The 19305-nt window shown below is 39.0% G+C and overlaps 1 protein-coding gene across 5 annotated transcripts in view; it reads right to left on the reverse strand.

Annotated features, from left to right (window-relative positions):
* Positions 1-19305, reverse strand: part of NUMB (NUMB endocytic adaptor protein) — a 183331-nt gene that overhangs the window by 92548 nt on the left and 71478 nt on the right. The gene's annotated exons all lie outside the window — the stretch shown is intronic.

The raw sequence follows: 19305 nt of genomic DNA on the forward strand, positions 1-19305 counted from the left end.
GACCCTGTTTCAAAAAAAAAAAAAAAAAAGATGGATTCGTGTGGTACTGATAGGAAGGAATATTTACGAGAAATAAACAGAAAGAGACAGACATATTGTCAAAGCTGTAGGGAAAATGAACCCCAGAGATCACTGGAATATAAGGGAAACTTCTTCAAAACACTCTAGAGAATCTCCATGTTTAATCCCACAGTCCTATATTTATTTCCATTTTCACAAGAACTTAAACAAAAAATTCCATTTATTTTCTTGTAGCAAACAGTAGTTTCTGCAAAGTGTTTAAAAAAAAAAAAAAGTTGGCTTGGAATTTGTTTTGCATATTTATTTCTGTCCCCAAAGAAAATATGTGGCTGGCAAGAGGGTAAATATTGTAGAATGACAGTTACAGAACTGGGATTTGGCTTTCAAAAACGGAAAGTGGTCACAGAGTATCTATTCAGCTATATATTAAATATTTGATGTACAAAGAAAATTACACAAGCAAAATTAAACTATGAAATGGTATTCAAGGTTAGAAACACAGCAATTCGGGCCGGGCACAGTGGCTCACGCCTGTTAATCCCAGCACTTTGGGAGGCCGAGGCAAGTGGATCGCCTGAGGTCAGGAGTTTTGAGACCAGCCTGGCCAACACAGCGAAACCTTGTCTCTACTAAAAATACAAAAAATTAGCCAGGCATGGTGACAGGTGACTGTAATCAATCCCAGCTACTCGGGAGGCTGAGGCAGGAGAATCACTTGAACCTGGGAGGCGGAGGTTACAGTGAGCCGAGATCGCGCCATTGCACTCCAGCCTGGGCAACAAGAGCAAGACTCCGTCTCCAAAAAAAAACAAAAAAAAAATTGAAAAGAAACACAGCAATTGGGATAAACTATTGATAGAGAACCTACTGTGTGTAATATAGTCACAATACTCAGTATTAAGAGGAGTACAGAAAATTACTGACATAATCTCTAAGCTCTAGGTTCTCATAATCAAGAAAAGGAATATTAAAAGCCTGTATGACAAAATACAGCAAATGGTTTAAGAGAGGCACAAATTGCAACATTTCTTAAGAGGGGGATGAGATCACTGACTTGAGAGAAGAAACAAGAAAAGACTTCATGGAAACTGCAGCATTTGAAAAGTGGAATTCCAACAACTCTAACTTCTGAATATAAAAACAACTTAAACTAAAAAGTTTTCCTTCTGTTAGTATGGAGGTATATATTGCCTCTCAGATGTCACTAAAATGGAAGGTGGCTAATAAAAATGTACTAAATAAACCTAATAGAACATTTTCTTTTTTTTTTTTTTTGAGACGGTGTCTCACACTGTCGCCCAGGCTGGAGTGCAATGGCACGATCTCAGCTCACTGCAACCTTTGCCTCCTGGGTTCAAGTGATTCTCCTGCCTCGGCCTCCTGAGTAGCTGGGATTACAGGTGCTCGCCACCACACCCAGCTAATTTTTTGTATTTTTAGTAGAGACAGGGTTTCACCATGTTGGCCAGGCTGGTCTCGAACTCCTGACCTCGTGATCCACCTGCCTCAGCCTCCCAAAGTGTTGGGATTACAGGCGTGAGCCACCGCGCCTGGCCCTAGAACATTTTCAAAAAGAAATTTGACAATAATAGCCATATCTTCAATTGCCATTTACCTTCAAACACTGTACTTAGAATTTTTCACTAAGAAATTTGGCAAATTAAAAAAGACTTAAAATAAGACTATTCACTCATTCACTCATTAATACTTCATAAAGTGAAAAAGTATAACTGGACACAAAAATTAACTCTAAGAATTAAGGCAGTAAGACACAAAGGGATGTGAAATGAGTTACATACAGCTGACTAACAAAAGGAAGCCTAATTTTTTGTCCACATCTCTTCCCACCTCCAAAAGAGGAACTTAACAAATGCATTTTATGAGAAACACACTTAAAAGTGTCCTTAGTAACAGATTTACATATGATACAAAAATCCTTTTAAAAATAGTTTATTAAGGTATGACATATGTAGAAAGAAGCATACAAAGTGTAGAGCTCAATTACTTTTCACAAAGAAACACATATAATTAGAATCCAGATCAAAAACAGAACATTAGTAGCATCCTAGAAGCTCCTCTATGTTCCTGCTTCCAGTCACTTCCTGTTCCCCTACCAAAGATACCACTATCTTAATTAACTTCTAATATCATGATGTGTTTTGCTTATATTGAATTTTATTAAAAAGAATCATACAATATTATCCTTTTGTTGTTTGGTTTCTTTCACTCAATATTGTCTATGAAATTCATCCATACTCTTGTGCTTGCAGTTTGCTATGATTTGAATGTTTGTCTCTTCCAAAAACTCATGTTGAAATCTAATTGTTATTGTAATGGTAGTGGGGGGGGTGGGACCATTAAGAGATAATTAGACCATGAGGGCTCTGCCCACATGAGTAGGATTAATGGATTAACACCAATATAAAAGGGTACAACTGTCTAGAACAAAGGCCATCTAATTTTTACAAAGTGCCCCTTCCTAAGAAAACTTACTAAATAAGAAATGTTTAGGAAATCTTTGAACTACCTATTTTAAAAATATTTAAAGCAAATAAATATAGAACATGAGGTGCTTGAGGTTACTATGCAATGACAGAACAACAAACAAAAAAGTCAGTTTCTTCTCGCCAGGCGTGGTGGCTCACGCTTGTAATCCCAGCACTTTGGGAGGCCGAGGTGGGTGGAGCACCTAAGGTCGGGAGTTCGAGACCAGCCTGACCAACATGGAGAAACCCCGTCTCTACTAAAAATACAAAAATTAGCCGGGCGTGATGGCACATGCCTGTAATCCCAGCTACTCAGGAGGCTGAGGCAGGAGAATTGCTTGAACCCAGGAGGCGGAGGTTGCGATGAGCCGAGATTGTGCCACTGCACTCCGGCCTGGGTAACAAGAGTGAAACTCCGCCTCAAAAAGAAAAAAAAAAAAAATCAGGTTCTTCTCTGTATGCCAACAATTTGAAATTTTTCTGCATGATCAGCATTTCCTTTGCTACTTTACTTTCTTTAAATAATTTTTTGTCATTTCTGTGAATTCTATAAATGAAGTCAAATTGGATTACAACTAAGATACATGAAAAAATGTTAGGTAAATTTTTAACTTTATATAATTTCAAATTTAAAGAAAATTTGCAAAGATCATCAATTATTTACATTTCATCTGATTTGCTTTATCATTCTCTTTCTCGTTCATTTTTTCTTGAGATGGGGTCTCACTATGTTGCCCAGGCTGATCTTGAACTCCTGGACTCCCATTCTCGGCCTCCCAAAGTGCTGGGATTACAGGCGTGAGCCCGCATCAGGTCCATCTCATACATTTTTTTCTGAACCATATGAGAGTAAGCTGCAAACACACTATATACCATTTTAGTCCTAAATATTTTTGTATGTTCTCCTAGGAACAAGAATATTTGCTTAGATAACCATAATATAGCTAAGCAAATCAGTACCAATGTTAAATTTACTATATAACAGCCGGGCTCAGTGGCTCACGCCTGTAATCTCAGCACTTTGGGAGACCCGAGGTGGGTGGATCACAAGGTCAGGAGATCGAGATCATCCTGGCCAACATGGTGAAACCCCTTCTCTACTAAAATACAAAAAATTAGCCAGGCGTGGTGGTGCATGCCTGCAATCCCAGCTACTCAGGAGGCTGAGGCAGAGGAATCACTTAAACCCGGGAGGTGGAGCTTGCAGTGAGCCGAGATTGCGCCACTGCACTCCAGCCTGGAGAAAGAGCAAGACTCCATCTCAAAAAAAAAAAACTTACTATATGTCTACAGTCCATATTGAAATATGTTCTTAGTTATGTGTGTTAATTGTTACAGGGTGTTATGACTTGAATAGGTCCCCCCCAAAATTCAAGTGTTACCAATGTTACAGTATTAAGAGGTGGAGCACTTAAGGAGTGATTAGGCCAGGAGGGCTACTCCCTCCTGAATGGGATTAAGGCTTCGTGCAGCTTCAGCTAGCTTGCTTTTCCACTTTTTGGCCATGTGAAGACACTGTGTTCCTCTTCTCCGGAACAGACAACTGGACCTGCCAGTACCTTGATCTTGGACTTTCCAGCCACCAGAACTGTGAGAAAATAAAATTCTGGTTTTTATAAATTACCCAGTCTCAGGTATTCTGTTACAGCAGCACAAATGGGTTAAGAAAGAGGAGAAGTGACCAGGCTCAGTGGCTCACGTCTGTAATCCCAGGACTTTGGAAGGCAGGCGTGGGAGGATCACTTGAGGTCAGGAGCTGAAGACCAGCCTGGCCAACATGGTAAAAACCATGTTTCCACTAAAAATACAAAATTTAGCCAGGCATGGTGGCAGGAGCCTGTAATCTCAACTACTTGGGAAGCTGAGGCAGGAGAATCACTTGAACTTGGGAGGTGGAGGGTGCAGTGACCCAAGATCATGCCACTGCACTCCAGCCTGGGTGACAGAGCAATACTCCATCTCAAAAAAAAAGAGGTGAAGTAATTGCTTCTAGGTCCTCTTAGCAAACAAAGTTGGAATATATATATATTTCTTTTATATATATATATATATATATATATATATATAACCTTTTATATATATATATATAACCTTTTATATATATATATATAAATGTGTATGTCAGTGTATACGCATACACACATATATGTGCCTATATATGTATATCTATATGAAAATATACATATATGTGTATTTATATTTATACAGATATTTAATATTTAAATATAGATTAATATTATTGCATAGATATGAATAGATATTAAAAACCACAACTTCCAATTCAAATCCAACATCACAGGGTTTATTTCAGCCTTTTCTCTTTTCCATATATAAAACTCCTTTCTCCAACAATGAAAAAACTTGACTCCCATTATCCTCAATACACTTACTCATTTGTTCAGTCCTAGAACTGACAAAAAACAGTTTCAAAATTGCTAATTCATACCACTACAAAAGAAAAGCCTAGAAACTAGGATTCACTATTGTTCATATTTCAATATTCATTTCATTATATTCATTGTATTATATATCTTCAATATGTTATATTCATTTCATTATATTTCATTATTCATCACTGTTTATATATTCATTACTGTTTATATTTCTGTTCACCTTGAGTTTAAGAGTATACCATTTCACTTATCTTTAAGTGGAGGTGAAATACAGTTAGGTTCATCTGATTCTGTTTATACTTTTAGGGTTTTATCCCTATCCTTATTGATTTTTTGTTTTTCATAAAACATTAGCATGACATTCTCAACTGATGTCATAAAAATTGTAACCAGGATTCTCTCTCTCACTGACGTTGGAATAGAGCTTTACAATTTAGGAAGTATATTTCCCATAAAAAATGAACCTTTCCATAGCCACTGCAAGCATCTACCAACACCCCACCCAGGCCCAGCTGTTTCCTAGGAATCACTGTCTTTGGGTAATACAGAAAGAAGGGATAAAATGAAATGGGTGAACCCTATTTCAGCAACCTCATAGATCATTACTTGTAAGGTAGCTTCAAACTGTGCTCCCTGTAGTGATGCCACAAGGTGCAAGGGCAGGACCCAGTAGGTAGAATTATAAGTCCCTGCCCTGTCTTCAGTTAAAGCTGCTATGCTTTTACTAGTATAATATATTGGGCTTTAGCCTCAGATTTTGTTCATTCAACTCACAAATATTTATTGAGTGTCTATGCTTGCCAGGCACTGTTCTTGGTGCTTAGGATACTTCAGTGAACAAATCCATCATGGGACTTACATTCTAGTTGTGTGGGAGACAAACAATAAACATAAGTAAATTATATAGCTAGTTATAAAACCTTAAAGCTGTAGAAAAATTTTGAACAAGGTAAAGGAGTTTAGAAATAGGGTCAGGAAGAAGAAACATAATTTGCAGTATCAGAATGTTTGAGTTAGGCCTCACTGAGAAAGGAAAGCTTCCTTTTTTTTTTTTTTTTTTTTAAAGACAGGGTCTTACTCTGTCACCTAGGATGCAGTGCAGGATCACAGCTCACTGTAACCTCGAACTCCTTGGGCTCAACAGATCTTCCCACCTCAGCCTCCCAAGTAGCTAGAACTACAGATGCACACCACCATGCTTAGCTAATTTTTTTTCTTTTTTGAAATGGAATTTTGCTCTTGTTGTCCAGGCTGGAGTGCAACAGTGTGATCTCGGCTCACTTCAACTTCCACCTCCCGGGTTCAAGCGATTCTCCAGCCTCAGCTTCCCTAGTAGCTGGGATTACAGGCATGCACCACCACGCCAGGCTAATTTTTGTATTTTTAGTAGATACGGGGTTTCACCATTGTTGGTCAGGCTGGTCTCGAACCCCTGACCTTAGGTGATCCGCCCACCTTGGCCTCCCAAAGTGCTGGGATTATAGGCGTGAGCCACCACGCCCAGCCGCTCAGCTAATTTTTTTTTAAAAATGTTCGTAGAGAATTTTCTCTCTACAATGTTGTCCAGGTTGGTCTCAAACTCCTGGCCTCATGCAGTCCTCCCACCTTGGCCTTTTTAAAGCACTGGGATTACAGGTGTGAGCTACTGCGCCTGGCCAAAAGCTTCCTTTTGTATATTTTATTAGGCTTGAAAGTCACTGGCAAAGAAGAATTAGCTGCCCAATTTTCCAGCTGGTGCCAACCCTGTGTCTACAGGTCCAAGGATAGCCCACAGGAAAGAAAGACATAAAATATTTTCCTTCCTTCTTTCAGAGAACCTTGTGCCAAAATCTGGGAATGGTGGTTCTTTCTCTGTCCAGATCCTTCTATTTCATAAGTAATTGAATATTTCTCCTAGATTCTGGCAAAGGGTTTTCCACCCATCTCAATTTCAGAAATATTAAATGTTTATTTTCCTTCTAATTATTATAGTGGGAGATTGGCATAGGCAACATCAGAACTGCTAACCAAATACTTTTTTAGGAAACTTTTTTTTAGCCCTTTAAGTTACATTAACTTTTTTTTTTTTTTTTTTTTTGAGACAGAGTCTCTCTCTTGTCGCCCAGGCTGGAGTCCAACATGATCTCAGCTCACTGCAACCTCCACCTTCTGGATTCAAGCGATTCTCCTGCCTCAGCCTCCTGAATAGCTGGGATTACAGGCGCCCACCACCATGCCCAGCTAATTTTTGCATTTTTAGTAGCGATGATGTTTCACCATGTTGGCCAGGCTGGTCTCGAACTCCTGACCTCAGCTGATCTGCCCGCTTCGGACACCCAAAGTGCGTGAGCCACTGCGCCTGGCCTAGAAACCTTGTTCTTCTAACCTTTAAGTTATTTGCTAAGGTGTTGCCTCTGGCTTCAAGAGATTATAAATGACTTGTCAGCCTGGCCTATATTAACTTTTATCCTATTCAAGTCACACTATCATTTCCTTGACTTTACAATCAACAAAAGACTAAGATATCTAGTCTTTCTTAGTTGTCCTAAATCATATCAGTCAAGTCCTAAAAAATTGAGTTTGTTTGCACCCAAGTACAGAATTTTATAATAATCACAGATAACATTTCATCGTCCCTTACTATGTGCCAGCTATTAAGAGACTTATGTTTATTACTTCTTTTATATTTTACAACAATCCCCATTTTATGGATGAAGAAACTGAGACATAAAGAGATTAAGTAACTTGTTCAAGGTAACATAGCCTCTAAGTAGCAGAGCTGGAATCAAAATCCCAGGTAATGTGTGTCATTAACTATGCATATTAAACTGATTCTCAAAAAATCTTTATATAATGCATATTAAATTCCATATTGCTATGCCAAATCCAGCCTGTAGAAAAAAAATGAGACTTCAATTCTATCATACAACATATATGCCATTTTTCAAAGTTTTAACTGAGTATTTGATCAGCATGCCATGAAGGGATGCAACCAAGCTATTAATAAAAAATGTGACCAGAAATATTAGCAAATTGAAAACAGAACATATAAAAAGAATTATACACCATGACCAAGTCCAGTTTATCTCAGGTATGCAAGGCTGGTTTCACATGTGGAAGTCAATTAATATAATCCATCATATTAACAGGCTAAAAAACAAAAATCACATGATCATCTCCATAAATGCAGAAAAAGCATTTAACAAAATCCAGCATCCATTCATGATAAAAATTTTATACAAACTAGGAACACAAAGATTCTTCCTCAACAAGACAAAGCATGTCCATTTTTAAAACCCTACAGCTACATCACACTTAATGGTGAGAAACTAGAAGCCTTCCCATTAAGATCAAGAACAAGAAAAGGATGTCTCCTCCCATCATTCCTTTTCAACGTCATACTGGAAGTCCTAATGCAATATGACAAAAAAAGGAAATAAAACTTAGACTGGAAAGTTAGAAAGAAAACTGTTTTTGTTCACAAATGACAAGACTTCCCATGTAGAAAACCTGAAAGAATCAATGAAAAAACTTCCAGAATTAATAAGCAATTATAGCAAGGTTACAGGACACAAGGTTAATATATAAAAGTCAATCACTTTCCTATATACCAGTAATAAACAATCTGAATTTGAAATTAAAACATAATACCATTTTCATTAGCACCCTCCAAAAATGACTTAAGTATAAGTCTAATCAAATATTTTCAAAATCTACACAAGAAAAATGAAAAAACTGATTAAAGAAATCTAAATAAATGGAGAGACATTCCATGTTCATGAATAGGCAGACTCAATACTGTCAAAATGTCAGGTCTTCCCAACTTGGTCAAAATCCCGACAAGTTATTTTGTGGATACTGACAAACTCATTCTAAAGTTTATATGGAAAAAAAAAAAACAAGTAAAAATAAAAATAAACTTTATAAAGAGAAGCAAAAGACCCAGAATAGCCAACTCAATATGCTACTCAATTTCAAAACTGACTTACTATAAAGCCACAGTAATCAAGACAGTATGGTATTTCAAAAATACAGACAAATAGATCAATGGAACTCAGAAACAGACCCACATAAACACAGTCAACTGGAGCTGAGTATGGTGAGTGTGCCTGGCATGCCAGATACTCAGGAGACTGAAGTGGGAAGACTGCTTGAGTCCAGGAGTTTGAGATTACAGTGTGCTATAACTGTGCCTGTGAATCCACAGCACTCCAGCCTAGACAACATGGTGAGACTCCCATCTCTATAAATAAAAATATTTATTTAGTTAGTTATTGTCAACTGATCTTTGACAAAAGAGCAAAGCCAACACAATGGTGAAAAGACAGTCTTTTTCAACAAATGGTGCTGTAGTAACTGGACACCCAAATGAAAAAGAAAAAAGAAAAGGTAAGAAAAAGAACTTAGATATAGACCTTAACATCCTTCACTAAAATTAACTCAAAATGGATCACAGACCTAAATGTAAAATGTAAAACTATAAAGCTCCTGGAAGATAACATAGGATAACATCTAGATGACTTTGGGTAAGGCAATGACTTTTAAAATATACACCAAAGGCACAACCCATTAAAGAAATAATTAATAAGCTGGACTTCATTAAAATTTAAAATTTCTTCTCTACTAAAGACACAGTCAAGAGAATGAGAAGACAGGCAACAGACTGGGAGAAAGTATTTGCAGAAAACATGTCTGATAAAGGACTATTATCCAGGCTGGGTATAGTGGGTCATGCCTGTAATCCAGCACTTTCGGAGGCCAAGGGGGGCAGGCAGATCACTTGAGGTCCAGAGTTCGAGACCAGCCTGGCCAACATGATGAAACCCATCTCTACTAAAAATACAAAAATTAGCTGGGCTTGGTAGTACATGCTTGTAATCCCAACTACTTGGGAGGCTGAGGCAGAAGAATCACTTGAACCCTGGAGGTGGAGGTTGCAGTGAGCCGAGATCATGCCATTACACTCCAGCCTGGGTGACAGAGACTCCGTCTCAAACAAACAAACAAACAACAACAACAACAAACTATTATCCAAAATATAGGGCCGGGCATGGTGGCTCACGCCTGTAATCCCAGCACTTTGGGAGGCCAAGGCGGGCAGATCACCTGAGGTCAGGAGTTCGAGACCAGCCTAGCCCACATGGCGAAACCCTGTCTCTACCAAAAATACAAAAATTAGCCAGGTGTGTTGGCGGGTACCTGTAATCCCAGCTACTTGGGAAGCTGTGGCAGGAGATTTGCTTGAACTCAGGAGGTGGAGGCTACAGTGAGCTGAGATTGCGCCACTGCCACCAGCCTGGAGATAGATATATATACACACACATGCATACATATAGATATATATATACACATACACACACACACACACACACACACATACACACACACACACACATACCAAAAAACTTAAAACTTAACAGTAAGAAAACTAACAACCTGATTTAAAAATCGGCAAAGACTTGAACATATTTCACTAAAGAAGAAATACAGATGGTAAATAAGCATATGAAAAGAAATTATCATATGTCATGAGGGAACTGCAAATTAAAACAACCAGATACCATTACACACCCACTAGAATGGTCAAAATCCAAAACACTGACCACACCAAATTCTGAGAAGCAGTTCCAGCAACAGGAATCCCTCATTCATTGTTGATGGGAATGCAAAATGGCACAGCCACTTTAGAAAAGTTTGGCAGTTGCTTACAAAACTGCACATACTCTTCACATACAATCCAGCAATTACATTACTTGGTATTTATCCAAATGAGTGGAAAACTTATGTCCACACAAAAGCCTGCACACAGTTGTTCACAACAGCTTTATTCATAATTGCCAAAACTTAGAAGCAACCAAGATGTCCTTCAGCAGGTGAATAGATAAACAAACTGTGGTACATTCAAAAAGTGGAATATTATTCAGTGCTAAAAAACAAATAAGACTTCAAGCTATGAAAAGACATGGAGGAACCTTAAATGCATATTACTAAGTGAAAAAAGCCAATCTGAAAAGGCTACATACTGTATGACCCCAACTACATGACATTTTGGAAAATGTCACACTATGGAGACAGTAAAAGGACCTGTAACTGCCAGGGGTAAGGGGTCTGGGAAAGATAAACAGGCAGAGCACAGATTTTTAGGGCAGTGAAATTATTCTGTACTATACTATAATGGCAGACCATGTCATTACATATTTGTCCAAATCCAGGGAATGTACACTACCAAGAGTTATCCCTAAAGTAAACTATGGACTTTGGGTAATAAAGATGTGTGCTGGAAGTTGATAGTGGGGAGGTTGTGCCTATATTGGGGCAGAAGAAATATGGGAACTCTCTGTACTTTCTGCTCAATTTTGCTGTGAACCTAAAACTCCTCTTAAAAATAAAGTCTATTTTCTTAAAAATTGCCACCAGATTCAAAGAGGCGGCTAAAAAGACCTCTCCATGATCAAGGAGCAATGGAACCATATACATTTGCCCTTTATATATGGCATTTTACCCAATTAACTCAACTACCTGAACTATCAAGCAACTCACATTTCTAAATCTTATCAAAAATCATTTCTCAAAAAACTAGTACTTCCTCCTCCTTCATCAGGGGAAAGCACGTAAGTGTTGCTTTTTAATTTAATTTAAAAATGATTTTTAATGAACTTTGTAAAAAAAATTATTACTTGAACCAGAAAACATGTTCATTCATTCAACAAATTATGTATTGACAACTAATTACAAGATAAGTATTCTTCTATAGAGATATAGCAGAGAATGAAACAAACCCTCTACCCTCACGGTAGTTGCACTTTATTTGGAGAGACTGTCAAAATAATGAAGAAACAAATACATAATATGTTGAGACATATAAAGAAAAATCAAGTAGGATTGGAGAAAAGAAAGTGTTGGGATTGGGGAACAGGGTAGAAAGGAGGCGGCTCTTCTAAATAAATAGTTAAGAGACGGCTTCATTTGTTAGGTTATATTTGAGCAAACAGATCTAAAGGCAGTTGAGTAGTAAGAGGGCAAGCCCAAGTACATAGGTGGAAGAGAGCACTCCAGGTGGAAGGAACAAGTGTACAGGTCCTGAGGCAAGTGTACAAGTCCTTTAGATGGAAGTTGCAGTGTTAGAGGAATAACAAGGAGATGATGTGGGTACAATATACTAAGTGAAGGGAGGCGAGGAAATGAGGTTGGAAAGAAAGCCGAATGTTTCAGAAAGTTTCAGAGGCCATTCCAAGTACTTGGGCTTCTGTTCCTAATAAGGTAAAAGCTACTAAAGGGTTCTGAGAGTAGGAATAACGAGATTTATGTTTTTTAAGAATCACCTTGGTTATTGTATTATAAATAGATCATAAAACAGGGAACCAGTTAGAAAACTATTAAATTAATCCAGATGAGAGGTGACAATAGCTTGGACCAGAGTGACAACAGTAGAGGTATGTCAGGGAGATGGTCCACTTCCTGTTTGCGCCCCCAGCTCCAGGAGAAACCGCATCTGAAGCCTAGCTGCAACAGAAATTGCCAAATGAGTAGGTTTACAATAATCCACAGTCATTTTCCAAGACCTCTGCACATGGTAGGATTCTGGACGTTATCTTATGGGTAGAACTAACAGGATTTTGTTAATGAATTGGAAATACAGAGTGAGAGTGAAAGATGACTCTAAGATTGCTGACCTGAGCAATCGGAAGAATGGAGTTGCCATTTATTGTGAGATGCAGCAGACAGAAGGAGGAGCAGGTTGAAGGGAACAAATCAAAAGTTTGTTAGCCTGATAAAATGTAAAGGTTTATGACTGAGATAGTTACATGTCACACTAAATTTTTTTAATGACAAGCTAGTTCCTACTCTAGCACACATGTCACTTTCATCATTAAATAGTCTTAACCCCCAACTCTGAATGTAGTAACTCTTCCCTCTGAATCACCAATTTTTTTCATTTCTTATACTATTTGTTATATTGTAACTATTGGTGTATGCCATGATCCCATAGATCTTAGGTACCCTGAAAGTAGAATTTGTGTTTTATAGTTGTATGATAATACTAATAAGCACCACCACTGATTGGGCACATTCATCAATTAGTTTTTTTTTTTTTTTTTTGAGACAGAGTCTTGTTCTGTCACCCAGGCTGGAGTGCTGTGGCACGATCTCCGCTCACTGCAACCACCACCTCCCAGGTTCAAGCAATTCTCCTGCTTCAACCTCCCAAGTAGCTGGGATTACAGGTGCGTGCTACCACACCCAGCTAATTTTTGTATTTAGTAGAGACGTGGTTTCACCATGTTGACCAGGCTGGTCTCAAACTCCTAACCTCAAGTGATCTGCCCACCTCAGCCTCCCAAAGTGCTGGGATTACAGGCATGAGCCACTGCACCCGACCTCAATTAGTTCTTTTAATTCTTCTATTATCACTTTTATTGTTAGTATTTAACCAGCAAGAAAATTCAGGTTCAGAGATATTAAATAACTGCTCCAAAGAAACACAGTTAATAAGACAACTAATACTTAAACTCAGGTTTGTCTAAATCTAAAGGCAGCATTCCACATTGTCTTTAATCAACCTCGGTACCTAATTTAGAACCTTGTCTATGAAAGGTACCTAATATATTTCTATACAATAAATAACTAGATAAATCTCTCTGTCTTGGGACAGAAAACACTGAAGAGAAGGTATATTAGAGTCAGACCAATGATCAGAACAGAATTGGAAGAAAAAGAAAAAAAAAAGGTAAGAAAATCCTTAATATGGCTTATAAAGCTTGAAACGATTTAGCCCTTGCCCATCAGACCAAGCTTCTTTGATGCTTTAAACCTGCCATGCTTCTTTTCCCTTCAAGGTCTCTAAGCCATACATAGTTCTAACAACCCATTATTTTTCCCTAAGTTAATTCTACTCATCCTCAGAGCTCTGCTCAAATATTACTTCCTCAAAGTAGCTGTCCTTGACCATCCCCCACTCTAACTAAGCCAGCTACCACTATAAGAAGTTCATAACACTCTGTACATCTCCTTATCACAATTTTAAATAAAGGCACCTTTCCTCCCTACAAGAATATAAGCTGCATGAAGGCAGAATCCTCATATGTTTGCCTTACTGCAGTGATTAAAATATGCTTAAAATTGTTTAATACTGTTTTATTATAAATTAATATTGTTTAAAAATGAATAAATAGTAATAAATAATTATAAGTAATTAATAAAAACAAATAAATAATGCAAGTAAGAGAAGACAGGCCAAAATACCAGAGAAAAATAAAATGCAGAGTTAAGCTTGACATTCTCCACTGCTTTGTTTCTGCTGGGGCAACCAGCTTCAAACCAGAGCTTTTGGAAACCTCACAGCGACAGAAATTACAGTTCACAGCTACCAAGACAGGCAGATTTGTGGCGCTAAAATCCCAGAAAAAAAGCAATCACAGAAAAGACAGCCTGGACATGCTATATTGCTTTTGCCCTTGGGGTATTTACTGAATCCCAACATGCGGAGGCAAAGTGCCTTTTTAAAATTATTATTATTTTTTGAGATGGAGTTTTGCTCTTGTTGCCCAGGCTGGAGTGCAATGGCACGATCTTGGCTCACTGCAACCTCCGCCTCCTGGGTTCGAGTGATTCTCCTGCCTCAGCCTCCTGAGCAGCTGGGATTACAGGCGCATGCCATCATGCCTGGCTAATTTTTGTATTTTTAGTAGAGACAGGGTTTTACCATGTTGGCCAGGCTGGTCTTGAACTCCTGACCTCAGGTGATCCACCTGCCTCAGCCTCCCAAAGTGCCACTGCGCCCAGCCAAAGTGCCTATTTTTATAGCAAAAAAAAAAAAAAGTAAGCAGAACTTTAGGTAGTCTCACAGAAAAATTAAGAGTCCAGGGCCTGACAAGAAGGAGAGGCCCTGACACATACCCTAGGTACCTCTGGTACCTCTGAAATACAATACTCTTGAAGTGGAAACTAGATTTAAACCAGCCCTTGAGAACCATAAAACAAAGCCTCAGATCATCTCAAGTCCATATTACAACAATGTCATCTACTCCTACTTTTAACTACCATCAGAGAGGAGAAAAACAAATCCTCTCTACAGAACAGTATCATCATAAAGAGCCTCTATTATTTCCCATATATGATGTTTGACATTCATTTTTAAAATGACCAGGAATGCTAGGAGACAGAACCAAATGACTGAAAATCAAGAGAAAAAAAGAAGACAATAGGAAAAGATCAAATAGGAGCTGGGCACAGTGGCTCATGCCTGTAATCCCAGCACTTTGGGAGGCTGAGGTGGGCAGATCACTTGAGGGCAGGAGTTTGAGACCAACCTGGCCAATATGGCAAAACCCTGTCTCTACCAAAAATACAAAAATCAGCTAGGCGTGGTGGCACACATATGTAATCCCAGCTACTTGGGAGGCTGAGGCACAAGAATTACTTGAACCCATGAGGCAGAGGTTGCAGTGAGCTGAGATTGTGCCACTGCACTCCAGCCTCAGTGACAGATCAAAACTCTGTCTTCAAAAAATAAAAAAAGAGAAAGATCAAATGGGGATCCAGGGATCCAGACATTGTTAATTACCACACACAGACTTTAAATAATTGTGATTAATATGTTCAGGAAAATAGAGGACAAGATGAGAATTTCACCAGAGAACTGGAATCTATGAAAACAAAAAAAAAGTTAAATTGAAAATCGAGAACTAAAAAATACATAATATAAAACTAACAATATAGCAGATGCTTTTAATAGCAGACTGAACATTAACTGAACTAGAAAAAAGGTCAACAGAAAATATCTAGATGGAGCACAAAGAAAAAGATAGAAAATACAGAAAAGAGCATGAGAGACATGTGAGATGCAGAGAAAGATCTAACATACAGTTATCTAGAATCCCAGAGGGAACTGAAAGAATGAGACAGAAGCAATATCAGAAGAGATATTCCAAACCTGACAAAAGACATCAAGCTACAGATCCTAGAGGATCTCCGGACCTGAAACATCTTAAATGATGAAAATCATAAAAAGCATGAAAGAAAACCACGTAAGCATCTTACTGAAAACTGCTAAAAACCGAAGACATTGCTTCTCTAATAAAAACAATGGGGGGCTGGGCACGGTGGCTCACATCTGTAATACCAGCACTTTGGGAGGCTGAGGTGGGCAGATCACCTGAGGTCAGGAGTTCGAGACCAGCCTGGCCAACATGGTAAAACCCTGTCTCTACAAAAAATACAAAAATTAGCCAGGCATGGTGGGACGCGCCTATAGTCCCAGCTACTGGGAGGGGCTGAGGCAGAGGAACCGCTTGAACTCAGGAGGCAGAGGTTGCAGTGAGCCAAGATCATGCCACTGCACTCCAGCCTGGGCGACAGAGTGAGACTCTGTCTCAAAAAAATAAATAAATAAAATAGAAACAATGAAGTCAGAAGGCAATAAAATGATATATTTAAAATGCTGAAAGAAAAGAACTGCCAACCTGGAATTCTATGCCCAATAAAACTATCCTTTTAAAATTAAGACAAAATTTCTTTTTTTTTTTTTGAGACGGAGTCTTCCTCCACACCATTCTCCTGCCTCAGCCTCCTGAGTAGCTGGGACTATAGGGGCCCACCACCATGCCCAGCTAATTTTTTATATTTTTTAGTAGAGACGGGGTTTCACTGTGTTAGCCAGGATGGTCTCGATCTCCTGACCTCATGATCCACCCGCCTCGGCCTCCCAAAAGGTTGGGATTACAGGCTTGAGCCACCTCACCTGGCTTAAGACAAAATTTCTAAAAATGCTTTCAGACAAAAATAGAACACTCATTACCAATAGACTTACACTTAAAAGAAAAGTGCAGTCTATGAAGAAAGAAAATAATCCCAGATGGAAGCACAGTAACACAGGAAAGAATCAACAATACATACAAGAAAGAAGAAATACATGCATAAAATTAAAAAACTATAATTTTTTTTGAGACAGGGTCTGGCTCTCTCGCCTACGCTGGAGTGCCATAGGGTGATCTTGGCTAACTGCAACCTCTGCCTCCGAGGCTCAAACCATCCTCCCACCTCAGCCTTCCAAGTAGCTGAGATTATAGGCACGTGCCACCACGCCTGGCTTTTTTGTTTGTTTGTTTGTTTGTTTGTTAGAGATGAGGTCTTGCCATGTTGCCTAGGCTGGTCTTGAACTCTGGAGCTCAAGTGATCCTCCTGCCTCGGCCTCCCAAAATGCTGAGATTACAGGTGTGAGCCACCATGCCCAGCCAAATAACTGTAATTTTTTTTTTTTTTTTTTTTTGAGACGGAGTTTCGCTCTTGCTGCCCAGGCTGGAGTGCAATGGCACAATTTCGGCTCACTGTAACCTCTGCCTCCCAGGTTCAAGCGATTCTCCTGCCTTAGCCTCCTGAGTAGCTGGGATTACAGGCATGAGCCACCATGCCTGGCCCAGAACTTTCTGAAACGAAAATGTTCAATATTTATGCTATCCAATATGGTAGCCATTAACCAGCGAGCACTTGAAATGTGGCTAGTTTGAGGAACTGAAGTTTTATTTTATTTTATTTTTTTAGAGACAGGGTCTCACTTGGTCGCCCAAGCTGGAAGTGGTATGATCATAGCTCACTGCAGCCTTGACCTCCTGGTCTCAAGTCATCCTCCTCTAGTAGCTGGAGCTATAGGTGCATACCAGTTAATTCTTTTTTTTTTTTTTTTTTTGGTAGAGACAGAGTCTCGCTTTGTTGCCCAAGCTGATCTCAAACTCCTGGGCTCAAGTGATCCTCCTGCCTCCCAAAGTCCTAGAATTATAGGTGTGAGCCACTGAGCCTGGCCTAGAGATTTAATTTTAATTAATTTAAATCAAAATAGCTACATATGGCTAGTGGCCTTTTTTTTTTTTTTTTTTTTTTTGAGATTGGGTCTTGCTCTGTAGCCCAGGCTGGAGTGCAGTGGCATGATCTCAGCTCACGGTAACCTCCGCCTCCCAGGTTCAAGCGATTCTTGTACCTCAGTCACCCGAGTAGCTGGGATTACAGGCATGTGCCACCACACCCGGCTAATTTTTGTATTTTTAGTAGAGACTGGGTTTCGTCATGTTGGCCAGGCTGGTATCCAACTCCTGGCCTCAAGTGATCCACCAGCCTCGGCCTCCCAAAGTGCTAGGATTACAGGCATGAGCCATCGTGCCTGCCCACTAGTGGCTTCTGTAATGAAAGGCACAGCTCTAAAACTTGGATGGTAGTAATGATCGGAGTAATTGAAAAATTCGTTGCAATGGAGAAAATGAGTTTGATAGTTAAGGCCCACAGTTACTTACTTCAAATAAGTACTTTTATTTCAATATCTATAGATTCTGAAGTATTGTACACTGATAAAATGCTGTCTGACAACCTTAACTAGCGGGCTTTTCTAGAATATTACCATGAAAGTCCTAGGAACCTCCTATTTTTTTTTAATAGTTCAAAGTGATTTAAGAAGAACTGTTATTAACCAGGATCAGGGGTGCAAGCCTCTGGTCTCAGCTATTGTTGAGGCAGGAGGATCACTTGAGGCCAGGAGTTTGAGACTACAGCATGCTATGATGGCATCTGTGAACAGCCACTGCACTCCAGCCTGGGCAACATAGTGAGATGCCATCTCAAAAAACAAAGAACTTCTGTATTTCAAAAACCTTCAAATTGCAACAGATATATAGCTTTTAATTGAATAGATTGCAGGTAATTAAATATTTACTTTTTACTTACTCCCTCGCAGCACTTCAATATCCTTTCTTATCCTTTTCTCTACCACTACCCACCCATACACCACCAGAGAAAGAAGTTGATCCAACGCTGCTACAATTCCAGATTTTTTTTTAACTTGTCAGCATTAAGTAGGTCAGTTTTCTGCTCTAGTGGGTGTTTTGGCAATAGGTTCTCTTATTGGAATACAGTGACTACTCTGCCTGGTAAGCACATACCACAAAGAAAAAAGGCTTTGAATAACTCTCCCTTAGGCTCCTGATTGCAAGAAGAAAATCCCTTAGCCTTAACTACCAGGAAATTCTGACAGAAAAACAAAACGCTATAGAAATAAAGAAAATTCCCATTCAACATTTGTTCTATATAGTGAAGTCTAAAGATCTTAAAAACCCTCGGTATCCAGCAACCCATAAGGATTTTGCTGAGAATTTGATGTATTGTTTTCAGCCCAATTCTAATCACTGAGATTGTAAGAAGGCAAAGGAAAAATAATACAAGACAATCTATCAGGTGTCTTATTTTTTTTTTTTTTTTTTTTTTTTTTTTTTTGAGACGGAGTCTCGCTCTGTCGCCCAGGCTGGAGTGCAGTGGCGGGATCTCGGCTCACTGCAAGCTCCGCCTCCCGGGTTCACGCCATTCTCCTGCCTCAGCCTCCCAAGTAGCTGGGACTACAGGCGCCCGCCACTACGCCCGGCTAATTTTTTTTGTATTTTTAGTAG

Source organism: Homo sapiens, chromosome 14, assembly GCF_000001405.40.
Source record: "Homo sapiens chromosome 14, GRCh38.p14 Primary Assembly".
Classification (NCBI taxonomy): Eukaryota; Metazoa; Chordata; class Mammalia; order Primates; family Hominidae; genus Homo; species Homo sapiens.